This window comes from Homo sapiens, chromosome 3 (genome assembly GCF_000001405.40).
Source record: "Homo sapiens chromosome 3, GRCh38.p14 Primary Assembly".
Classification (NCBI taxonomy): Eukaryota; Metazoa; Chordata; class Mammalia; order Primates; family Hominidae; genus Homo; species Homo sapiens.
The window spans coordinates 42,502,960-42,528,369 of NC_000003.12; the positions used below are offsets into that span (position 1 = coordinate 42,502,960).

The following is a 25,410-nucleotide window of genomic DNA, read 5'->3' on the forward strand; positions in this document are numbered from 1 at the left end:
CCACCGCTCCAGACCGAACCTAGACGCGAGGGCTGGGATATTGGTCGTGCCCAGTCCCTCCCAGCGCAGCCCGGAGCAGGCACAGCATCAGTGGAGGGGCAGCGGGGAAGAGTGGGCCCCAGACTTGCCTTCCTTGTCGTGGTTGTGGGTGCGCAGCGGGGTGGGGCGGCCAGTGGGTGCAGAGTCAGGTACTGCGGCCGATTGAGATGGAAGGTTTGGTACACCGTAGGTGAGAGGGAGGATGTGAGGGGCCGTTCTTGTGTGCTGTGACCGTCTGGAGGTGCCTGTGGGCTGTCAGCATCAGAACCAGTGCTGGGGGCCCCAGGACTTGAGAAGGGGTTCTTGGGATCAGGTGAGTGACAGGCACATCCCTCCGTGTGCCCTCCCACTGAGCAAAGCAAAAAGGTACCAGACCCCAAGGTGGAAGCTGGTGGGCAGTGAGGGGCTAAGGGTGGTGGTTAACAGGAGGGGCCAGGCCTGTACATGGAGAGAGCTGAGCAGGGAGCCAATGCCAACAAGCAGTGGCCTCCCTCTTCCTCCCACTTCTGCTTCCTCTCAACGTGGGTATGTGTATGCCCTTGATACATGTGTACTCGTGTGCCCCATGTGTGGGTGTGATATGTGTTCCTGTGGATGGCTTACCTGGGCTGGGAGGCAGATGCTGATTGAGGCAGGAGATGCATGGATCATCTCACTCTAGAACAGGGGAGACCTCAGCACTCATTGAGTCTACTGAAGCCCATTTTACAGATGGGCAAAGCGAGGTCCAGAGACACAAGAGCCACATCTGTCTCCCACCAGTTAGACCTAGACAAAGGTTGATTTTCTCCCTACCCCAGACTTTGAGTAATCTAGAGTTGCTGCTTAGGCAGGGCCTTAAATGCCCACTCCAAGTTGGCTGGGGGAGGGTGAGGAATCTTGATTATCTAGTTCATTCTCTCCCATGGTCACTTCCCTTACCATCACCTCCACCAGAGCAGGTATCTCTGTGTTTCCATCTAGCGGATGTCTTGAGCACCCTGGGAATGGGAAGCTCATTGCCTGTCCTAGGAGCGGACCTCTGACAATTGGCAGGAGCCTCACCTCCACCCATGACAGCCATGAGACCCACCTCCTGAGCACTCAAAATCTTACCAAGCTCTGTCCCAGAGGCCACAGCTCTGGCACAACTTGCATGAAGCCTTCAGGCCTCTCCAACCACCATCTGGCCCTCCCAACCCCAGGTTCAAGCCACTCAAACTCTTCTTGGATGAACCGGGGATCTTGGGACCACTGTTGTCACCCCATTCCTCCATCCCGAGAAGCTTCTGAGCCCAGGGGCAGAGTGGATTCAGAGAGGTCTCCTTTCACACCAGGCCACTTCTACTTCACACTTCCTGAGACAGCCCAAATCTGTCTCCTCCCTCCAATGCCTACCCTCCCCCTGTCTTTCCACATCTTATTCGTTTAGTGCCCAACTCTATCTCCTCCTCCAGACAGCCTTCCCTGATTGCTCCAGCCAACTCAACCCTTCCCCCTCTAACCCCACCCTTCAGCCCTACCCACCTCCCAGGCTGGGCTATTCTGGCCATCCTATAAGGTCAGGGGCTGGGGTCTCTTACATCCCCATGTTTCTTACAGCCCAGTGCAGGGGCTGGGTCCACAGAGAGAGGAGAAGGGACTCAACCAGGACTGGGTGAGGGCAGGCTGGAGTGAGGGGTCCCTATTTCCCTCCCTGATTCTCCCTCCTCCCCACCAGCTACCAATCGCTCCCTCATGGAATGGGGCAAACCTGCTCTAGCCGGACTCGGTGTGACGGCGGGGTGGGGGGGCGGGGTGACAGGAGTTATCAGAGTCATAAAATGGCAGCTGCAAAGTTCAAGTTGAAGGCCCAAGGCCTTATCACTCCTGTTTATGGTGCCCTGACTTCAGCCTGGGAAGGAGAAATCTCTGAAAAGGGAGGCAAAAAAAAAAAAAAAAAAAAAAAAGGAAAGAAAACCTCCAGTGTCTCAGAGGAGGAAGTCTGCCCCAAGGCCACCTGTCAAGCCTTCCACTGCCCCTGCCCCCCGGACAGCAGGCACAGGGACTCCTCATCCAGAAGCAGAGCTGCTCAGGGCAATGCCCAGTACGAGGCTGGGGGAGGAGGGTCACAGGCCTCCTCGTGGGAAATTCTCTATCTGGTGTGGGAGACCAGACCCAGTGACTTAGGAGAAAGAGTCCAGGTGGATGTGGGGTACAGCCTCCTAGAACTGGGGCAGGGGTTGCTGAGAGGAACAGTCAGGGGAGGCTCCTGGAAGAAGCAGGACTGTGCCCTAAAGAGTTTGACCAGATGGGCCAATCTTTCACCCTAAACCATAAAACAGCCTCTGTTGACAGGACCAATGGGCCTGCCCCCAGAAGGAGGAGTCCCAGGGACTGGGAGAGGCTCGACTTCTCCCCAACTCTGAGGTTGATCAGTGGCCACAAGCTCCTGAAGGCCTTGCCTTGCCACCGGCATCCTGCTGCCCCTGCCACCTGCCTCTAGCCTCTCCAGAGGCGGACCACAGCTGCCCAGGCCCTCTTGGCCCCCAGCAGGCCACCCTGTGAGCTTTGGGAAACATGGCTGCATCTGGGTCAGGCCTCCTCCTCAAGTGAGGTTACCACCTCAGTTAGGCCTGGCCAGGGCTCCCAGGGTACCATGCTGGAAAAGCGAGCCCTTTTGGAAGTTTCTACCCTCCTGTCCTGGTGCACTAAGACTATGCCTTCTCTGAGGTTTGTGGGACATCCTTGGGGAGCCCAGGCTGGAAACAGGAGAGCTGGTCCTCACTCCACTCCATGGCAATGGCTTGACCTTGGGAACATCTTTAACTTTTGTGGAAGGGCCTCGGGTTCCTCACCACAAAAGGGAAGGTGAGAGGCCTCCGCCCAGTGTGCAGGAGAAGTGGGAGGAGAGGGTTAGGCTGGAGCCAACTCTGCCTCCTGAGTGGGACATAATCTACCCCTGGAGCACCAGGGTCTCTGTGAAAGGGGGTTTGTCTTTCAAGCAGGACTTCTGTGAGCTTTGAAGGAGGTAAAGGTTGTGAAGGTGGCTATGTGAACTGTGTGACTGTCATCCCTTCTCCTACGTCCCCAGCTTGGGAGCCCTGTGCAAACTTATACAGCTATTTCTGGCCCCCATCTTCCCACAGGTTCCCAGGGCAGCAGGAGTCCTGGGGAATGGGGGACGTTTCCTCATTAGGTGGCCAAAACATTTTGGGGGTAAGGCTCCAGGCCTAGGTAGGCAATGGGGCCTCTCAGAGCAGATGGGCCTTCACAACGTGGGCAGCCTCAGTGGAAATCCAACATGGGCCATGAGACCAGGGTAGGGGCTCTAACCTGCCACGTGCCACAACTCTGCCATTGCTGGGCCCTTCACTGTGGCTCCTTTGGCCATGGAGCAGGGAATGGGGCCTGGGGACTATGTAAAGCCTAGTCCCTTTCTTAAATCCTTCTGTTCAACCCCCAGATTCTGCCTTCCCCTCTCTGACTTCTTAACACAAAATGATTTTTATTGTACCCATTGAAAATGTCAGTATGTACTCTCTCACATAACTTAGAAGTATTTCCTTTTTTTCTTTTTTTTCTTTTTGAGATGGAGTCTTGCTCTGTCACCCAGGCTGGAGTGTGGTGGTGTGATCTTGGCTCACTGCAACCTCCAGCTTCCAGGTTTAAGCGATTCTTCTGGCTCAGCCTCCCTAGGAGCTGAGATTACAGGCTCCCGCCACCATGCCTGGCTAAATTTTGTATTTTTAGTAGAGACAGGGTTTCGCCATGTTGGCCAGGCTGCTCTTGAACTCCTGGCTTCAGGTGATCCACCTGCCTCAGCCTCCCAAAGTGCTTGGAATTACAAGCATGAGTCACCACGCCTGGCCCCTTAGAAGTATTTCTGAAGAAGAAAAAAACAGTTTAATCTCTCCACCACGTGTATAGTGTTTTAAATTTTTACTTTTTTTGTGAAAATTTTTAAACAAGCAGAGACAACATTATAATGAACGTGCAAATACCCAATTCCGAGGTTTGACAATTGTTAACATCTAACAATTAATATATGCTTCATTTGCTTTTGGGCTGAAGTATTTTAAAGTAAATTATAAACCTCCTGACCTTTTACCCCAAATCATTTCAGAATGCATCTCTAAAACCAAAGGACACTCTTCTATATAACTATGATACTGTCATTACACACCTAACAAAATTGACAGGAATTGCTTAATATCTAATATTCAAATATCCCCAGCCGGAATGTAATGAAGTGCCACAGGATGAGTGGTGATATTATCCAGGGCTTGGTCTTCTCGCAGGAGTTTCATGTCTGTGTCTGACGGGACTGTCCAGCGAGCTGGCAGGGAGAAAGCAGGGTGCCTTGGCAGTGAGCCTCAGGCTAGCCTCCACTGGGAGGACCCAGTCTTTTCGTGCAGCCCCTCTCATGCGGCCCATTATCTCTCAGGAAGTGCCTCCTACTACCTAACTTCAAAACAAGTTCTTCCTGCACAGCAGGTCACCAGAGGAGGGGGAAGAGGCCACCAACCAATCTCCATGTACTAAGGACTCATAGCCTTGTGGCTGCCTGTGCTGGAGTCCAGCCCTCTGCAGGTGGCTCCAACACCAACGTCACCCACAGGCACTGTGTTTATAAGCTGAGTCCTGCAAACTCCAGTTCCCTAGGTGTGGCCAGGATCGTGAACAAGCAGCAGAGGATTTAAACTAAATGCTTAGCCTGTGTTCCTCTGCAAATAAAGGCTTCATGCCCCCAAAAGAAACCTTCCAAGAAGAACCCTTAGATGGGAACAAGCTAAGTGTCTGTGCTTGGGTTCTGCTAATTATGAGAGCCCTTGTCCTGATATCACTCTGAGATGTGGAAAGTTCTTCTTACCCAAAGCACAATCCTGTATCCTTATGTCTCCCCCTCTTCCTCCCCATCCCCATCAACACTCACACAGCAGTTCTCATTCTCTTCTTCTACCAGAGCTCAGCCTTCCCCAAGAGGAAGTGAGGCTGGCAAAAAAAAAAAAAAAAAAGAATTTGCAGCGGGGAGGCTTTGGGCTGTTGGCTAAGGGATGTAAAAATACAAGGAAGAGAAATCAGTACGGGGCGAAGGTAACTGGCAGACTTGAGACCTCTGGTGGGTACGGCTGGCACTTGTCAGTGGGTAGGACCTTCAGCCTACCTGGGGTTATGCAAGGCACTACGGCTGTGGCTAGGCTTGGATGTGGACAGCAGGGGCAGCCTGGCATGAGGACTGGACTAGAGCTTTGGCAGTCGCTGCTAACCCCCCTGGTGCCTGGCTGGTGTCTTTTACATGTGACCCTCAACCCCAATTCTAGAAGTAGGTGGTATTGTTATTGTCCCCATTTTATAGATGAAGTTGAGTAAATTGCCCAAGTCATCCAGCCAGGAAGCAGCAGACAGTCTCATTCTGGAACCTGTGGTCTGAACTAGGCTCTGCCACCTCGTGAAGAGGGGCTACTACTTCCAGGGTGGGCGACGGCGTGTCACATGCTGCGCTGGGACTTTAGATATTTTTAAAATTAGTAAAATATAGAAATCTGAATTGACAGCTCAGTGAATTGTCACATATGTGTACACCTGTGTCACCACTGCCCAGGTCAAACTATTATACATTCCCATCACCCTAGCAGGCTGCCCTGCAATGAGGGGAAGTCTTATTTTGATTTCCTTTAGTGCTCTCTGCAAAGCTGGGAGCATGTTTCTCCTTTCTTTTGTGACTCCTGGATCCCATGATCCAACTTATGTCCTTTACCCACTCCTTTTCTGCCCTTCCTCCTCCCACCTTTTCTCTCCTCTCTCCCCTCTTGCCTCCCAACTACAAGGGCTGCACGTTCTCGCCCACTCACGTGCAAAAGCCAGCAAGGATGGGAAGGTGAGCTGCTGTCCTGTGTGCCTGTGATCACACTGCTTTCTCTCTGGCTCCTCCATTCCCCCTGTGTCTCTTTTTTACCCCATGATTTCAGCAGGGGGCTGGCAGAGTAGAGTAAATAAGTCGTGAGATATGAGATGGTTTCTGTAAAGGGCTAGGGTCATGTGGGAGAGGGTAAATGAAACCACTCCTGAGCCCCCTGTCCTCTACTCCCCATTCCCCTGCCTCCATTAACAGTTGCAGGCTGGAAAAAAATAAAATAGCCCTCTTGACAAACCTCAGAAGCACAAATCATCCATGGAGGCTCTGCATGCTTGGCAATTTGCAGACAGTTCTTTCTCCTGCCTCACCTTATCCAGCCTGCTGCATTCTGTGCTCCTCTCAGAGACCAGCTTCTCCTCGGAGGGACTCATGCTTCCTGCTGTGCTACTTGGCTCCTCCTGCCCTAGTTCTCTGGCCCCAGATGATGAGGCTGGGGCTTCTGATTCGAGGCAGTAGCTGTGGTCTCAGGCTTCCCTTGAGGGGATTGAACATGGCCTACGAACCTGAGCATGGCCCACCCTGTCTTTCAGAGCCCCTTGCATCTAACAGCTACAACTCCCAGCATCTTCACCCATACCCCCATCACCACACCTAGCCTTTGCTCCAGATCTCAGAGAACCCCACATGGACAGGAAAAAGCAGGGCTTTCTCTCTAGCCCCTCACCAATTCCTATGCTTGACTGAGCTCCAAAAAGTAAGCTTAAAGGCAGCCTGACCCTGCCGTTGAGCTGAGGCTAGAGAGTTTTGGTCCAGGCTGGGCTCTCAGCACCTTCTTTGGGGCAGGAGTTCCTAAGCCCAGAAGGGACCCAGGCTGAAGAAGACTGAAGAAGTCCACAGCATCTTCTCCATCCTGGTCTTCTTCTGTCCTCTGCCATGGGGCTAGCGGGATGTGGGAGGTGAATGACAGGGAGTTGGCAGGAGAATCCTGAGTCTAGTTGGAGACAGGGACTAACCAAGTCTTGTTCATTCCACCTGCCCCCTCCTCTCTGTGCCCTCTCTTTATACCCACTGTCCTGCCCAGGCTTCATCAGTTCCTGCCTGGACTGGTGCAGTAGCTTTCAGCCCCACCACCTGCAACCTGAGGGATCTTTGTAAAATGTGTATCCCCCATCCTCAGTCTCCTGCTTCAAGTCTCTGTTGGCCCCCATGGCCTAGGAGTGAAAGCTCACACTTGAAAACTGGCATTCCAGGCCCTTCCCAATCCTACCCCAGTCTACATCTCTCAACTTGTCTCCTGATGCCCCCAGAACTCCTTGCTGCAGCTACACCAGGCTTCTCACAGCCTTGCATGTATTAGGCATTTTCATGCCTCCATGCCTGTGCACACGCTGCTCTACTTTCTGGGGTGCTCTTACTCCACTTCTAATTGTCTAACTTGCACATCCTCCATGACCTACCTCTACAGAATGAGTACAGCATACCCATTCTGTAGGAAGCCCAGACTCCAGCTATATCCCACCCTGGAACACTTCCCTGACATCAGTAGACTTGGCTATATTCAGCCAGGGAATTTTTCAACTCTCTCTGTGTTCCTGAAGTCCAGAGGGATAATGAGGATGTTTAGAATAGGGAAATAAATAAGTGGGAGAGGAAGTCCAAAGTCTGCCTGAATTCCTTAGTGATAAGGACTAGAGGGAGCTGCCCTGGCCCGGTCCCTCAAAGGGCAATGGTTGACCAGAGGGTCCAAGGCGAGGCTGTGTTGAAGGATTGATGCAGTCCAGACCAGCGGTCAGAGACTTAGGTCCCATCTGGGAATGCGCATTTGCTGGGTGACCTCAGGTCCCTCTTTGGGTCTCCATTTCCTCTACCCCTCCCCAGATAGGGCTCAACACTAAACTAAATTGTGACAAAGAGAGAGCTCATCTTCCAGACCACACCCACTGTTTCATAAACACCACAGGCTTCGGTACCCACCCCTCCTTTCTCTCCAAACTGCCTCTAAGGAAGGGCTGTGTGTCTGTGCTGCTGAGGGGGCAGAGTTGGCTGGAGAAGTTGACCCAACACTCTTCTACCCTCAGAGAGTCGCAAGCAGAAGCTGCCAGAAATCCTAGGCGCCCATGGTGATTGGGAAACAAATATTTCTTGGCAAACTATATGGCCACAGTCCTGGCTTAAGAAGGCCCAGAAAGTGAGGGCGTCCATTATCTTGTCCTCAGAGGGCAAGGCTGGACACTTTTGTTTACAGCGACCAACAGAAAACTCAACTGATCCAAGCCATAAAGGAAAGGCATCAGCTCATGTTGCTAGCAGTAGAGCTGGTTTCAGGCATGGCTGCATTCACAGACCCAGACAATATTAAGAGAACCTGATTTTTCTCCATCTCTCTATTCTGCCTTCAGCTGTATAGTTTTTATCCGTGTGTTCCACTTGTCAACAAGAAGACAGCAGAAGCTTGAGCCCTTGCTTCCTTTAAGGTTTCCAGTCCAGTGGGGAAAAACCAAATTCACTTTCTTAATCACTTAATCCAAAGTCCCAGGAGTGAGCCTCCTGGCTCTGAGTAGCCTGACTCAGGCCATGTGTCAGGCACTGTGGCCAGGAATGCTCTGATGGACTTAAGCCTTGGTCACATGTCAATCCCCTGGAAGAGGGTTCATCAGAACTCCATGAACTAGAGGTAGGGAAGGAGGTTGTTTCCCAGACACAGATGAGGACATGGCACCAGAAGAGAGTAAAGGATGGTGGAAGGCAGAAACAAGAGATATCTGCTACCATCCATCCTGTTTTGACGTTACAGTGTTATGAGAGATAAGAATGGACAGGAGAATCAGGAGACGCTGGGAAGGGGCCAGAAAGCAGAAAGAACCCTGTTGCTGGTGGGAGATGGGGTTGGGATGGTACCTTGGTGAGAAATGTGCTCCAAGACAGGCAAGACAGACCAATGATGGGACACAAGGCAGGGTAGCCAGTACCCAGATTCCTCTTCCAGAAGCCACCTCTGAGATCTTCCTGGCCACTATTCCCCCTATACTTGAGGATGAAACAGCCACAAATCCCTTGAGACAGAGTGTCTTGAGCATTTCAGCCTGAGTAACCCTTATGGGAAGGAGAGAAAGCACATGACCCCAAAGAGGAACCACAGACAGTTTCCTTGAAGTCTCCTATCTTTTAACAGTTATACGAGTAACTGTATCATGCTCCATCACACAACTGTGTTACTTTCAATAAGTTTTAAATGACTTACCAGCTAATGTCTTTACCCCCATTGGCTGGTAAAGGTGCAAGATGGAGCTCGTGCTCACTGTGGCTTCCAGGGCAACAGCACTTAGGCAGGTGAGGTCTGGATGCTGGGGAAATCTAAAGGAGTCCTGGAGAGGGAGGCCTTCCCTGGACCTGGACGAGGTCAACCATGGTGCTAGCTGCTTCTGGGAGTGTTGGCCTGCAGGTGACCTGTGAGACAGAGGCTCCACCAGAGAGCCCTCAACAGGAATGAGAGAGCTGTTTGGGGTGGAAAGGACTTGGCTGTGCAGCTTCTTAGGCACTGAGTTGTTCAGCTTCAGCTTGGACCCCTCTCCCTCCGCAGCAATGGATTGCTGGCTGCCAGCTGGGATGCACATCCCAGTAAATGGAGCTGATTTACTTAAAACAATGGTCAAAGTACTAAGCACTTTGGTGCCTGCAGGCCAGGAGGGACCCCCTTAAAGGAAGGTCCCCCACCTATGTTCTTCCCACGGACCCACTTCAAGAATCTCTAAGTCGGCAGGGGAGGTGGTTGAGGCCCACGTAGCCTACAGAGAAACTGAGGCCCAGGGAGGTAAGGACCCTGTCCCAGGGTGGGAGGGACAAGCTGGAGGAGACACTGAGAATGTCTGATTCTGGAGTGGTCTTGCTGGACTCTCTTCTATGGCCCTGGTGGAAACTGACATTCTTCTCCCAGGCAGAGATGAGGAAACTGGTGTGGGGTTGCCGGGGCCAGCAACCACTTTTCTAAAGCCAAAGACGCAGAAGGTGCTGCCAGTCCAACGCTTCCTCCATGGAGGCCTTCACCCACCCACACCCATCTAAGAGTTCCCAAGACCTGTTTTTTCTGGCTATTCCTAGACAGCCATCACCCCCACTCACATGTCTTCCACAAGGTCAGTGACCCCAGTCACACTGGTCTGGCCCACCCCTGATCCCTGGCCAGGGTACAGGGAGGGGAAGAGGAGAAGCTTGGACTTTTCCATCCCTTCTCTTCACCTTCCAGAAGCAGGGGAGGCCTGGTGGGATCCTAGAGGGGCTCTCTTACTTCCTTAAACCTCCCCACCCTCAGTAGATCTGGTATAGCTTGAATTATTTAGAAACTAAAAAGGAGGCAGGTGAGGTCTGGGCAAGGAAGGCCAGAGTCCCCTCCCTAGCCTGGTGACCCAGGGGACTGAGCACAGAATCCTGGAATGACAGAAGCTGGAAAATACAGCTAGACTCCTGGATTCTTCCCAGGGCTGGCCCTGGGAACCAGAGGCCAGGATCCAACTCCACATAACAGAGTAGTAGCACGAGCTGGCCCCACTCATCAGGGAGATCAAGACAGGGACAGACTCTCAAACCAAGCTGGAGAGTGGCAGAGTCCAGAGGGCCAGCTCAGGCCTCTAAGGGGAGGCCCTCTTGCCGCCATCTGGAGTTGTGCCACCCGCAAAGAGACAAAGCAGTTACAGCTGCAGCACTAATGGGGGAGCCATCAAGAAGCTGTGGCAGGGTCCTCGGGGCCGACCCAGGTTTGGGGGCAATGGACAACAGGTTGGGGTCAGGTTCAGGTTTCAGTCTTGGGTTGGTATTGGGGTTCCATCTGGAACTTGGATCTCTTCCAGGGAGAGGGCAGGTGCAGTCCAGAGACTGGGCCTGGTGCTCCTGAGTCTATGGACGAGGCTGATGGGCCCTCCCTGTCTTTGTTCTCAGGGCGGCCAGGCGGCCAGGCTGCAGGAGGAGTGTGACTATGTGCAGATGATCGAGGTGCAGCACAAGCAGTGCCTGGAGGAGGCCCAGCTGGAGAATGAGACAATAGGTGAGGCCCCCATGGGCAGAGAGGGGCTGCATGCCCCCAGGGAGCCCAAGATTCCTCATGTCTCAAGCTGAGATCCAAGTCACGTTCGTTCCACATTTATTGGATGATGGTGAGGAGCGGCTGGGGAGCCAGATGGAAGAAGAAAGGGGCTAACAGGCTTCCACATTCCCACCCCAGGTCTGGGGAGCTCCCAGCCGCAGCTAAGGAGGACATACTAAATTGGGGTTCTGAAAAGTACATGGAGCCAACTCTGCCTCTGGGGGTCCCTATCCCTCTTCTCCAGGAAAAGTGAAGATCTCCATGGCGGCCAGCCCACCCAGGACACAAGGCCCAGGGTGCTATGTGGTGGGGGATCTGTGACCAATGAGGGCAGGCAGGTTCCAGGACCCCCTGGAGCTGGCATGGGAGAATTAGCCCCATAACACCACACTCCAGGATTAGAACATTGTACTGTTAGCATCTCCAGAGGAAGAAGAGGCACATTCAGTCACAATATGTGACCCCCACAGGGACCACATGGAAGCTCAAAGCCATCTTAGTGGTCCCGAGCAAGAAGGGGCACAAGTTTTGTCTGGAAAGATGTGGAATACTCACCACAGCCAATATTCAGCCTGGAAACTGAGGCCCACTCCTCCCTCTCAACCCCAGGCTCTGCCTCTGCTACATCCAGAGGACCGATAGTGACACCACACACACACACACACACACACACACACACATACACACACGCCCAGCCCCTAAGCATACACATACAGGCAAACACACTGGCCTCTCCATCCCAACCCACCCTTAGTGGCCAGATGAACCATCAGCTCATTATTCGGCTGATGAGACAAGTCAAGGTCAGCCCCAGGGGCTGAGCACATGAGGGCCCCAGCCACTCCTCCTCAGGGGGCTGGGAGAGCCCCACCTGGCAGTGTGAAGGGTAGTGCCCAGCTACCAAGACTGGACAGCAGGGCTATCAGGACAGATGACAGCACCCTCCTTTTGACTCAGCAGCCCCAGGTAAGAATGGATGGAATTCTTTGGTACCACTTGAACCAGACTTGGAGGGGTGAGCAGGTTTGGAGAAACAGAGAGTCTGGGAAGGTGGGAGGCACTGAGGCAGACTTCCCATGGGGAGTGGGGCATGGTTGGCAGGTTCAAGTCTTACTGCCAGGGACACCAGCCTGGCATGTCTGGGCTGGAGGCATGAGATGGCTGGGCCCGTTCTGGGCCTCCATCCCAGGCCATCTCCCCGCGGCTGAGCTTACAGTTATGTAACAGCCTTGCTCAGGAGCAGGGAGCATCTTTACGTCTTCCTGGCTCCCTAGTTCCCCTTCCACCTCTCTAAAGCTGACAGTTATGTAACCCCTTCTGGGTCCCTCTTCTTGGCCCTGGTGCCCAGGCTGTCTGCCTCCTGTTCTGTAAGTGAGTATGTGTAGCCTCACAGATGGGCTTTGCCTACCCTTGTCTCAAAGCAGGACAACCCCTTGACTCTAGGGCCCAGAGACTGAGGCATGGGTCACGGGGTGGCTGGGCCTGCCCACTACCTACAGGCCCCACCCCACTCCACCAGTGCAGGGAGCCAGGACCAGGTGCAGACAGGCTTTGGCAGGCCCCAGCGGTGGGATCATAGGCAGCCCCAAGAGGCCCAGACTCTAGACTCCACTGCGCACCTCCCACGCCTGGGGACAGGCCACCCTCGTGATTCCAATGAGGTCACTGCTGGCACAGCGTTCCCGTCGGGTGCCAACACCCTGTCACCAGCAGCCAGGCTGGGATGCAGAGAAGGGCCAGCATAGGTTGTGGCCATGGGTCTGCCCGTGACCTTCTGTAGGGCTCTGTGCGTGTTCATGCACATCTAGGTATGCGCTCCTGGCCCATGTCTGTCTGGAGCTGCGTCTGTGCCTCTGGGGTCTATAGCTCTGTGTCTGACTCTGAGTATCTTTGTGAGTCAGAAGTGTGTGTCTATTTAAGCTTGGGCACATGCCATCTCGACATGCCTAGATGTGTCTGCCCAGTGTGCTGTGTCTCTGTGTGTTGGCTTGTATGTCTATCAGTGTGAATGTCAGTGATACACCCAGACATGTCTGTCTCTCTGAATGTATGTCTCTGTGAGTTGTGTGTCTCTCTGTGCCCATTTGCTTGTGTCTGTGGTCTGTGTTCAGGTAAGTGTACATGTGTGCATGTTTGCATGTGTGCCTGGTGTTCTGTGTACTGGCATGTACATGTCAGTGTGTGTATCTCTGTGTGCACACAAGTCTACAAAATGACACAGCAGAGGCCCCACCTCATCTTGCCTCACCATCCCTTACCCCAAGCTCTGGGTTGGGCTTTCCTGCTGAGGGCACAGCCCCACCTGTGGGCACACACAGCCAGCCTGGGCCCTGTATTTCTGTAGGCCTGGTGACATGTGTGATGGGACCTATGGGGCCTCATTAGGGCAGGCACACAGGAAATACTCCCGTTGCCTAGCCCAGGACAACAGGCCATTCCAGGTACCAAGTATATTCATGGCTGTCACCCCGTCCCCTGCTTCCCTGACCATGTCCCTCATATTGGCCTCTCATCCTGCTCCCCTGCCCTGCTGGCTGCCCTACACCCCAGCACCAGTTCACAGCCCAGCCTTGGTTATGCTGAGATTCCTTGAGGCCAAGTGTGGCCTCCCAAGGGCAGGGCCTGGTTTCCTCTCTTCTGTCCCACTGCAGTGAAGCAGAGCTCAGGGCCAGAGACCCAGCCCCGGATTCACTCCCTGGCCTGTGCTGGCAGCCGGAGGTTTAGAGAGCCCAAAGTCTGGCAGGGACTCAGACACAATAGCCGGCCTACAAAACAGGGCGTGCCCAGTGCTGTCAGAGAGGGGTAAACAAAGTCCAGCAGCAGCAAAATTCCCAGAGAAATGACAGGCCTTCCAACCAAGAGGAGTGGGAATAGACTGTACCGCTTACCAGCAACATGACCTTGAGCTGGTTTTCTAATCAGTCTGTGCCTCCATTTCCTCATCTGTGAAATGGAAGCATTAAATAAGTTATTCATCCAAAGAGGTTAGAACAGTGCCTGGCACATGCAAATGTTATATGAATGTTTGCTGATATTCTTAACAGGGTCTTGAACCCCCAGCAGGGTTTGACTGACCTGAAGTGCCCCTACTCAGCTTTCAGAGAAGCTGGCCCAGAATGGAAGAGGGACTGACAGCCAACATGAGGCCACAAGAGCCCTCAAGACAGGTTGGGGGAAAAGTGGTCAGGGTCCATGACCAAGGAAGGCTGCAATCTCTGGCCAAGCCCTAGGGATCCAGGTGTCCTCCTCAGCCTTCAGCTATAGATGTGGCCTGACTGCTGCAGCCCCAGAAAGTGCCCCTTGCTGCTGCCAGCCCACTCCAATGCACACAGTCCCGAGGCTCTTCCCCAAGTAAACACATCCCTCCACCTCCTCTTCCCAGACCCCCTTCTTGGGAACTTGTGAACCTTCGGACCTGAGCTGGGCTGGGCTGGGCTTGGCCCAGCTGGCGTTGACTTTGGCTCAGGGGTTGGGTTTTCTGAGCAAATCTATGGGACTGGCAGGATTGCAAAGAGACAATTAAGCCTCCTGCATGGGATGGGTCCAGAGCAGTCCTAGTCCCTCACGGGCATGAAGCTTCTGAACAGACTAAATGATGGCATTTGCATGTGCCTATTCAAGCAGACCCCTAGAGACCACACTGTGCATCTTTCACTGGCCAGGCTCTGCAAGGCTGTGGCGGAGAATGCAGCCACAATGCAGGGTTTTCGCTGCACTTGTTCCCTAACTATTCCCCTCCATCACAATTCACAATCCGACCACGTTGGGGGAATCTGTGTTGTTCAAGAACTAGGTGCGGGCTGGGCACGGTGGCTCATGCCTGTAATCCCAGCACTTTGGGAGGCTGAGAGGCAGGTGAATCACCTGGGGTCAGGAGTTCGAGACCAGCCTGGCCAACATGGCGAAACCCCGTCTCTACTAAAAATACAAAAATTAGCCGGGTGTGGTGGTGGGCTCCTGTAATCCCAGCTACTCAGAAGGCTGAGGCAGGAGAATCACTTTAACCTGGGAGGTGGAGGTTGCAGTGAGCCGAGATCATGCCATTGTACTCCAGCCTGGGCGACAGAGCAAGACTATGATGGGGTGATGAGTATATTGGGATGCATCTAGTTCTTTTTTTTTTGAGACAGAGTCTCAAAACATTTTCTAATGCCTCCTTCACTATCATAATATGAAATTCAGGACACGTACCCATCCACTTTATAAAAAATAATGTTCTAGCTATACTGTAAAATAAATATTAAAAGGAAAGTAATTTACAATAAAGTACCATGTACATATTCAAGCATAACCACACTAGATGTAGTCTGAAGGTTGTACCTACAAATATAAATCCTGGGAATGTGAGGCCTACAAATGCAGACTGATGGACACAGGTAGTTGTATCGGTGACTCAAGTATCACAGGCAGCACTGCTATGGGTATCATGATTTTCCAAAACATTGAACAACTCTTAGTGAAGTTCAGAACAAAACAAAATACAATCTTCCCTCCCTTTTCTCAGTGGCTGCATTCCTGGAAAACTCCATGTATGTTAAACTTGTGCAATAAACAGCTTGTGTTGGCCGGGCGCGGTGGCTCATACCTGTAATCCCAGCACTTTGGGAGGCCAAGGTGGGAGGATCACTTGAGGTCAGGAGTTCGAGATCAGCCTGGCCAACATGGTGAAACCCTGTCTCTACTAAAAATACAAAAATTAGCCGGGCGTGGCGGCATGGGCCTATAGTCCCAGCTACTCGGGAGGCTGAGGCAGGAGAATTGCTTGAACCCAGGAGGCAGAGGTTGCCAAGGTTGCACCACTGCACTCTAGCCTGGGTGACAGAGTGAGACTCCATCTCAAAAAATAAGTAAGTAAATGGCGTGTGTTTATACATAAAATGGTGTAAGAGTCTAGGCTCTGGTCATTATGAAAGGTTTTCACCTATACATATGCCCAGTGGCTCATCTGGAAGCCATGCAGAATGTGAGACAATTCATCATTGTGCAGGAGTTGTCTGTCTGGCATCCCTGGTGACTGCCCATCAAATGCCAGTGAGGCCCCCCTATTGCTGCAACAGTCAAAACCACCACTGGCATTGGAAACATCCCCAGGGGGCGCTCCATCCCTCACTAAGGACCAAGGAACTGTAGTCAGGCCTCCTTCCTGCCTCCCTGTCAGGACAGCCCCGTGCAACCTCCGCAGGGCTGTGCCTCCCCTCTCAGACTGGAGGCTCCTTGAGGTGGGAGCCTGGCAGAGGGAGGAAGAGAGTGGGTGCCTATGGCCTCAGGCCCCAGGGCTGGAGGCACCTGCACTGTGCTCACCCATGTGTCTTCTGCCTTACCCCCATAGGCTGCAGCAAGATGTGGGACAACCTCACCTGCTGGCCAGCCACCCCTCGGGGCCAGGTAGTTGTCTTGGCCTGTCCCCTCATCTTCAAGCTCTTCTCCTCCATTCAAGGTAAGACCCCTGGGTTGAAGAGGTGATGTGAGTGGGGCCGGCTGGAGTGGGGACTCACCTCTCAAGGAAGTGGAAAGGCAAAGGAAAGTGGTCAAAGAGGCTGGAGCAATCCGAGGGACTCCCTGGCAGAGGAGGCAATGGTGCTGGGTCTTTAAAGAACTCACAGGATTTGATTAGCTCTTCACATAAAGATAAGCATGTGGGAAAGGCTCACTAAATATTTGCTCAACAATTGATAACTGATTGACTGACAGGTACTTGATTAAATTATGACTCCCATAGTCCTGTTGTCTTGGGCTGGTCTTGATTCAGTCTTTCGATGCCTGGAGCCTATGACCTCTTGGGCTCCATGAAGCCACCACATGACTTTGCTTACACACCTTGTCATGTTCCACTTAAATGAATGTCCACAGAATGAGGCAGAAAAGAAAAGGGGGAGCCCCTTTAGGAGGTGGCTTTCTAGCTAGTGAGTCATTAAAGAGATTCACAATATAGATTCAGTCATTCTTTTGTGCAGTGAATGAAGCACTTACCAGTGTGCCAGGCACTGAGCTGGACAAACACAGTGGAGAGAGGATAAAACAGCCCCCGGGGCTGCTCTCCCAGAGCTAGCATTCTCATTGGAGAGACATTTAGTAAGGAAATAAACAGATGTATCATCAATAATAAAAAGTGCTGGACGAGAGAATAAGGAGAGTGGGGACTAACTTAAGGCAGAGGTTCACAAACAGCCCCTCTCTGAGGAGGTGACACTTCATCTGCAATCTGAAGACCTGGAGGTGAGAAAGAACCACCAGGCAAAGATCCCAGATTGGGGACAACTGAGAGAGAGAATCAACAGCCCGTGGAACAAGCATCCAAGGAAGTTCCGTGAAGGCCAGTGTGGCTGGAGCAGGGAAAGCACCAGGGATGAAGGGAGGGGAGGGACAGGTGCGCCGAGGCCAGACCATGCAGGGCCTTGAGGACAGAAGCGAAGACTTGAGTTTTTTCCTAAGTCCAGTTAGAAGTGGGGGGTTTTAAGCAGGGGACTGACAAAGTCCAATTTAGATTTTTAACGTCTAACTGGTTTCTGTGAGAAGGAAGAATTCTAGGAGTGTAAACAGGAAAACCCAATCACAAGGCAGGCAGGAAATGATGGCTTGAATTCAGGTAGTGAGCTCAGTGCGGGAGAGAAGTGGGAGAGTTGTTTATGGAGGGAATGGGAGTGAGTGAGGCGAGGGAGGAATCAAGCAGGCCCCACCCTAGGCTTAGGTTTAATGAGCCTTAGGGAAGAGAGTGGGACTGGGTGGGGAGCATGGAGGGAGGGGCAGGCCTAGAGTGGGGAGGACTCATGAGGAGCAGAACTTATATAATTATTCAGAGAGCGAACAGAACTCAGGCATCTCTCACTCCAGATGGCCTTTTCCTCCCTGGACCCCAGTTTCCCCGTTTGTAAAGTGGGGATAGGTGGTAGACCCCAGGGTCTCTTTGGGGTAAGCCAGTTTGCCCCCCAGTGCCTGCTGTTGTGACCTCAGTAGTGAAAGATAGAACTTGAAGCCCTCCTGAGGAGTCTGGGAGGGTCACAGCCATGCCATATTCCAGGCCAGTGCCCACCTAGCCTGGTCACCTCCTCCAGGGACACCCAGTGCCTGGGCAGATAAGAGATGAGTTCCTCTGGCAGGTTTCACAGTGCACGCCATCACCAAGCCTGGAAACTAGCCTTCTCTCTGATCCCTGGAAGCACCTGCTAATTGCCTTTCTCCCTGAGACTCTGCTAACTGCATTCCTCCCCATGGCTCTTCCTTCTGTCCCTGCTGGAATGTGTCAAGGCAACTCCTGCCCTTGAGAACCTGGACTCCAGCCCACCATCTAGCTAACCCTGAGGCTGCCGCCATCAATGGGGCCCATACGGTGCCTTTGGACTGACAAGAAAAAGGCAGTCCTTCCTCGGGCAGAGATGACCTCTCACTAGAGCCCACCTAGTGACAAGCAGAATATGCCTACCGGCCAGGTGCCCTTGTAGAGTGAACAACTTGCACAGCCATACTCTGTGGGCCTGGTCTCTGAAAATGGTGGAGAGAAATAAGAGACTGCGATTAGGGACTGAAAACAGAAAAAAGACAGTGTTCTCCTGAGCAAGTAGATGAAGAAGTTGTGGGCAACCGACCTGAAATTCCAAAGAGGGAAGTTTGCAAGTGTGAGGCAGGAATGATGGCATCACCAACTCACACAACAGGCCTGGGAAGAATTATATCCACGGGAAGGGACCTGGTTATACAGGGAAAGCTAAATAAACCTTATAGAAGATAAAAATTGTGGAGAGTTAGAAAAAAGTCATCTACCTAGACTGGATAAAATACCTGAAGGAGGGAGTTTGGCCAGGCAAGGAATTGCTCATTAAGACATCAAAATGTTCATGGTAGCTCACTTCTTTATTTTTATTTTATTAATGTTTTGAGATAGAGTCTTGCTCTGTCACCCAGGCTGCAGTGCAGTGGCACCATCTTGGCTCACTGCAACCTCCGTCTCCTGGGTTCAAGCAATTCTCCTGCCTCAGCCTCCCAAGAAGCTAAGATTGCAGGCACCAGCCACCACACCTGGCTAATTTTTGTATTTTTAGTAGAGACAGGGTTTCACTGTATTGGCCAGGCTGGTCTTGAACTCCTGACCTCATGATCCTCCCACCTCAGCCTCCCAAAGTGCTGGGATTACAGGTGCATACTTCTTTAATCTGTAGTCTGCATATCTTTCATCTGTGTTTCTACCTTCGAATATATATATATATATATATATTTTTTTTTTTTTTTTTTTTTTTTTTTTTAGACAGCGTCTCGCTCTGTCCCCCAGGCTGGAGTGCAGTGGCACTATCTCTGCTCACTGCAACCTCCGCCTTCCGGGTCCACACCATTCTCCTGCCTCAGCCTCCCCAGTAGCTGGGACTGCAGGCGCCCGCCACCACACCTAATTTTTTGTATTCTTAGTAGAGATGGGGTTTTACCATGTTAGCCAGGATGGTCTCGATCTCCTGACCTTGTGATCCACCTGCCTCGGCCTCCCAAAGTGCTGGGATTATAGGCATGAACCACCATGCCTGGCCTCTACTTTCAAATATTTGAAAAGATTTGTTTTAAAATAAATATGGGAGAGCCATTCTGGCTGAGAAAATTCGACATACAGTCTATGTTAACCATGTCTGTGGGGTCTATGGGATACCTCCCCTCCCCTACCACCTGCATCATGATGCTATAAATAAGAAAACCTTGCTGCCAGCCTAGGAAGCTCAAACTTGCTGGCTGGGATGGGACACCACGGCAGGGAATCAGCAGGAGAGTTCCATGGTCAGGTCTGGGTGTTAGCATGATCCTTCCAGCTGTCTCAGGGTGGGGAGCTGACAGGAAAGCAGGGGGCTCCTACCTAATCCAGGGGAGATGAGGTGGTGGTGGTGCTGGGGAAGAAGCTGGGACAGGACTGGTGACTGATGGGGGAGAGGAGGGAGAGGATTATTCCTCAATTCCTGGCTCCAGGCACTGAGTGGAGGATCCTAGCTAGGCACAAGCGGGGGCCATGACTGCTTTTTGAGACATAGTGAGTGGGAGGAGACTGGAAGAAAGGTGGCCCTTGCCACCCTTCTGGTCGTCATGGCTATCCTGAGCTTGTTCAGGTGAAGCCCAGCCCAAGTGACAGGCCTCAAAGCAGACCTGGCAAGTGTCCCTCCCACGGTGGAGCCCAGCCTGGCCCAGGCATGCCCTGACCCCTTCACTGTTGCATGCCCTGACCCCGCCCCCAGTGGAGTGTCCTTCCCAGCACAGGGTTAAAGTCCCTTGCTACCTCCCTCCTGCCCTTCATGTCCCCCTCTACAGATATTGGGCCTGCCGGTTTCCAGGCCCAGACTGGAGGGAGACTCTTGGCTGCTTCTTGGGATCCCATGGTGACTGCCATTTTGATATCCTTGAGAGCAGCTTGCTATGAGGCCTTGACCACAATCCCAGGGCTCTTCAAAGAGACCACCTGGCCCCAGAGATGACCCATTGTCCCCTCCCCTCCTCTCCTTCACCATCTATGGCAGCCAGGGCTCCAGAAAACAGAGTATCCCTTTGGCCGCTGCTGGGAGCCCAGAAAGATCTGGAGTCAGGCAGACCTTGGTCTGCATCCCACCTGCTGCTCCCTTGCTGTGTGACCATGGGCAAATGACTTAACCTCTCTTAGCCTTGGGATCCCCATTTTTTGATGGGATAACAAAAACTACCAATTCCTAGCCCTAACACATTAATGTTTACCCTAACACCTCCGCCACTACACACACACACACACACACACACACACACACACACGGCATGTGAAGCTGCTGTGTACATGCCAGAGTCACCCAGGTTTGCTGGCATAATTCATGATACCAGATGCTTGCCATGTCATTGGGCCTGGCCTCCTCAAGCCCCGGTCCCTCTGGTGAGTAGGGAGCCCAAAGCTCCAGTGTCCCAGCTTCAAGGCTGGGTGATTTTGGCCTTAATCCTCTTTTTTTTTTCCCTGAGTCGGAGTTTTACTCTGTCACCCAGGTGGGAGTGCAGTGGTGTGATCTCGGCTCACTGCAACCTCCACCTCCTGGGTTCAAGCGATTCTCCTGCCTCAGCCTCCTGAGTAGCTGGGACTACAGGTGTGTGCCACCACTCCCAGATAATTTTTGTATTTTTAGTAAAGACAGGGTTTCACTATGTTGGCCAGGCTGATCTTGAACTCTGACCTCGTGATCTGCCTGCCTTGGCCTACCAAACTGCTGGGATTACAGGCATGAGCCACCGCACCCAGCCCTTAACCCTGTTTTCTACCTGCCTGAGCCTTGTAGGGGGAAGTCCTCAAATGAATCAGATTGTGGGTGGGATCCAGGGCCTCAGAGCCTGCAGTTAGCTCCCTGGAACTGGGGCTGAGGAAGAGCCTACCCTTTGATGAGGGGCTGGGCTGAAGGCTCTGGGCCAGGCCCACCTCTGGCTGCAATGATGGGAAGCTGAGAGGGGCGCAGAAGGACAGCTGAAGGCTTTTCTGCTGTCCTAGGAGCCTCTTGCAACAGTGAGGTTGGGAGCCCAGGGCAGAAAAAGGGATGCCAAGGCAGGAAACTGGCCCAGTCCAATGCCCCCTCCTCAACCAAATCCATCCTGCCCTCCCTGGGCCATGCGGTGGAAATAGACCCAGCCCACGGCTGCTCTTTCCTGGCTGTCCCATCCCCACCCCTAGCTGTCCCTCAGTTCTTCATCCATGAAGTAGGGTGACAAGACCTCTTTCCAAGGGTTGCCAGGAGGATTTACAGAAATGGTGAATATGGAATCACCTGGTATATTCCGGGCATACGGCAAAGTTTGGAAATAAACACACGTGCCCAGTGACACTTCCTGAGCTCATAGAACAGCTTGACCCTCCTGCAGCTCTTTATCTGGTCACCGAAATAAGTCCTCAGGTCACCTCCATGCAGGTGAGAACCAAGCTTACCTGGGAAGACTCTGGAGACCAAATCAGCTCTATCCTGTCCTCTCTATGTAGCCTTGGGCAAGTAACCAACCTCTTGGGGCCTCCACTTCTTAACTGTGAAATGGAGTTAACTTCCTCACTGGATGATTGAGGAAATTAAACAGGATGTGCCTAAAGTGCTTGACCAGCACTGACATTTGAAAAGTACTCAAAACCTGTCATTGTGATGAGGCTGACAACAGTGATGCTGCTGATGCTGCTCATGGTGACTATGGCGGTGGTGGTGGTGGTGATGAACGGGTACTGAGATGGGGAAGCGTGATTCTTCTCTGGCTCATCTAATTTCTATTCAACCCATCCTCTCCCTCTCTGGGGAGAGGACACCTCCCCAGTGCTGGAGAGTGGGGAGCCTCAGTGGTACCCCTCACCTCACATACCCCCTAAGCGGTCCTGTCTCTTTGCTGCAGCTTCAAGCCTCTGAGGACAGTGGACAGTGCAGCTTGCCTGGAGCCTCAGCCTCTGCTTGTTTCAGCCCCAAGCTCCTGCCATGCTGTGCTGCCTGATTCCCCCTCACATGCCTTTGCCTGCACAGGTTCCCCAACCCCACCCCTCCTCACCCCCACACTCCTGCTCCCCCTCCAGCAGCACATCTAAGCCCTTCCAGGTGTGAGAAGAAACCCAGCCCCACAGGCCCAGGCAGGCTGACTGAGGAGGACCGGGCAGGCCTGGGCCCCTTCCCCCAGCCGTGGCCTTGTGACAAGGGTCAGCATTCTGCTCACGGCAAGGGTCAGGAATCATTCTGTGACAAGGATCCAGGCAGGGTCTGTGACAAGGATAAGAGTGTATGTTGTACTTGGGGTCAGGTTCAGACCATAACAAAAGGGCTGAGCCCAAGAATGTCTGCTCTGATTCTATCATCGGTGCGGGAGCCCTGAAGAGGCTTCTCCCTGCCCCAGGTGCCCCCACGGTGCCCTGGGTAACTGGGTCAGGGCAGCTGGAACCTGACAGCACCAGGGTTGGTGGGAGTAGGGCTGAATTCTCTGCCTTGTTCCAAGCAGAGACAGCCAGGTCCCCATGCTCCCGGCCTCAGCCTTTGTCCTTGCCCCTGCCCTCCACCCAGGCCGCAATGTAAGCCGCAGCTGCACCGACGAAGGCTGGACGCACCTGGAGCCTGGCCCGTACCCCATTGCCTGTGGTTTGGATGACAAGGCAGCGAGTTTGGATGAGGTGGGTCTCAGGGCACCCCCACCTCACCTGCAGAGCGCCGGGGCCCACCTAGGAGACTTTGATCTCTCCCACCGAGGGGTGTGGTTGCTGTCTGTGTGGGAACAGGACTCCTGGAGTCTGCCCTCCTCTAGCCTCCTCCAGGCCTGCCTTTCTGGGGTCCCAACCCTTGGCTCCCCCTGACAGGGTATGGGAGGAGGCTTTCCCACAGGAGGGGCCCCCAGAGCAGCAAAAGCTGAAGCAGCTCCCCCAGGCTGGGCCACCCTACTGCCTCATGGGAACCTCACTTCAGCCCGGGAGTTGGCAGGGCAGGCAGACACCAGCACCCCATCCCATCCAGAGGGGAAACCGAGTTGCTGCAGGTCCTGGAAGGAACCAGACTTGGCTACCAAATAGCCAGTCAGGAACAGGGACAGAGCCTGTCATTCTCAGTCCCAGGACAGATATCTTCCCCGGAGCAGTTAAAACATGGTCTCTGTAAAGACTGGGGAGCCTGGTAAGGACATTGATGGGGAGGCTGGAGTCCTCAGCTAGGAGCCCCTCACTGCTTTGGGGTGCAAATGCATGTGTGTGTGTCTGTCTGCGATGGCATCTGCCCCACCCTCAGGCGCCCTTCTCAGACCGGGCTTTCACTCCACCCACCCCCGAGGACAGCAATTTCTTCAGAGGCCTTTGAAGCCCACTGGAGCTATAGGCCCTCATTCCCCCTTAACCACTTGCCTCTCCTCAGGCAAGCGTGGGAGGCTGACAGGAAGGAGTGGCTTGCCTAGTGGCTGTCGTGCTGCACTGCACCTGTGTCCATGGGGAGGGCATCAGGAGAGGGGACCAAGCGAGACACCCTCGGGGCCTAGCTTTGCCCTCCTCCACCGGAAAGGCCAGACTGCCCTCATCCCACCGACCCCAACTCCCAAGGGCCCAAAATGGGACATACTAGTGCCAGTGTCTTCTTCGACATCCCGCAACCTCGCATACCTCTCCTCCCTATACAGAGACAGGGCCTCGAGGGGTGTCTGAAGGGCAAGCAGACCCCACCCCTAGGGTGCCCAGCTCAGAGCTGGCACAGAAGGGAAGCCGGGCACATGGCTGGAGACATGAAATTAACAAAAGGGACGTGCAAGGTCTTCATTCTCTCCCTCACCAACTTGTCCCTCGTAAAGAAGCAAAGACAGGAAGTACATTCAACCCCCACCCCACCCTAAGACACAGTCCTGCCCTGTCTGTAGAAACCAGGGCGTTAGGGGTCAGGGGCTCAGCTGCTCTTGGGAGCCCCAGACCTCAGCCTCCTCATTTGCTGAGGCAGGGTTGGGCAGGCAGAGTGTGTAGGGCACCCCACCCCTGCCAATACCCCCTAGATGAGCCTCCCACCCCACCACCCAAGAGCCTCTCCCTGTCCCTCCAACAGCAGCAGACCATGTTCTACGGTTCTGTGAAGACCGGCTACACCATTGGCTACGGCCTGTCCCTCGCCACCCTTCTGGTCGCCACAGCTATCCTGAGCCTGTTCAGGTGAGGCCCAGCCCAAGTCACAGGCCTCAAAGCAAACCTGGCAAGTGTCCCTCCCACAGTGGAGCCCAGCGTGGCCCAGGCGTGCCCCGACCCCTCCACTGTTGCCCCCCAGCAGCACATACTCCCCAGCTCCTGCCAGGCCAGCTTCCCCTGGAGAAGGCAGGTGGCTGAGCTCTTCCATGTGTTGCAGCCTAGTCTCCCCTAGGATGGCCCTGCACCTGGGGACAGGGCACCAGAGAGTGGGGCCTGCACACAGGAATGAGGCTTCTGGGGCCACACACGAGGTTGAGGCCCTTGGGAGCCCAGTTGCACAGGTGGATGGGGTACCTGGGGGTGGGGCTCGTATTTCAGGATGGGATCCCCTTTGAGGCGGGGCCTGCCCTCTGGAGGACACATGCTCCCCTGCCCCACCCTTGCTCAGCACATAGGACAGCATTGGCTGGGGTGGGGATCCAAGGCCCCTTTGGCCTCCCAGATCTGCCCACCCCACACAGGAAGCTCCACTGCACGCGGAACTACATCCACATGCACCTCTTCATATCCTTCATCCTGAGGGCTGCCGCTGTCTTCATCAAAGACTTGGCCCTCTTCGACAGCGGGGAGTCGGACCAGTGCTCCGAGGGCTCGGTGAGGATCCTGGCCCTGGCCCACCTCCCTCAGTCTCGCCGTTATCTTTAACCACTGTAATCTCCTCTTCTCCCCCTGCTTCTCCCTCTCCCTCCTCCCTCTTCCCTCCCACCCCACCCCTCAATCCAAGGATAGCCTAACCCCCACCCAACCCCACCTGGCAGTACTCAAATCACACTCCCCTCCGGCAACAGGAGATGTTGCTCACCCATCTGGGTGCTCACAGACCTGCCGCCGCCAGTGAGA

At 53.6% G+C, this 25,410-nt stretch overlaps 1 protein-coding gene across 12 annotated transcripts in view, besides 2 other annotated features; it reads left to right on the plus strand.

The window, feature by feature from the left end:
- VIPR1 (vasoactive intestinal peptide receptor 1) overlaps positions 1-25,410 on the plus strand; it is a 48,270-nt gene that overhangs the window by 13,661 nt on the left and 9,199 nt on the right. For 4 of the 12 annotated variants that reach the window (XR_007095725.1, XR_940500.3, NM_004624.4 and 1 more), the window contains exons 2-6: positions 10,790-10,895; positions 16,264-16,371; positions 22,928-23,034; positions 24,434-24,537; positions 25,032-25,164. Coding sequence is in view for 10 of the 12 variants with exons in the window: in NM_004624.4 (NP_004615.2) it covers positions 10,790-10,895; positions 16,264-16,371; positions 22,928-23,034; positions 24,434-24,537; positions 25,032-25,164 (558 nt within the window). In the remaining 2 variants the exon portion in view is untranslated. Of the gene's footprint in view, positions 1-9,791; positions 9,991-10,789; positions 10,896-16,263; positions 16,372-22,927; positions 23,035-24,433; positions 24,538-25,012; positions 25,165-25,410 lie in introns of those variants that run through there. The other 8 variants (XM_005265437.3, XM_047448850.1, NM_001251882.2 and 5 more) reach the window with 7 other exon arrangements.
- Positions 4,398-4,692: an enhancer, noted in NCBI's record as "tiled region #5178; K562 Activating DNase matched - State 8:EnhW". NCBI's record gives its function as "activates a minimal TATA promoter and a strong SV40 promoter by Sharpr-MPRA in K562 cells {active_cell/tissue: K562}" and the evidence as "EXISTENCE:reporter gene assay evidence [ECO:0000049][PMID:27701403]".
- Positions 21,685-21,855: a silencer, noted in NCBI's record as "fragment chr3:42566136-42566306 (GRCh37/hg19 assembly coordinates)". NCBI's record gives its function as "represses an EF-1alpha promoter that drives an FKBP-Casp9 reporter gene in an ReSE screen in HepG2 liver carcinoma cells {active_cell/tissue: HepG2}" and the evidence as "EXISTENCE:reporter gene assay evidence [ECO:0000049][PMID:32094911]".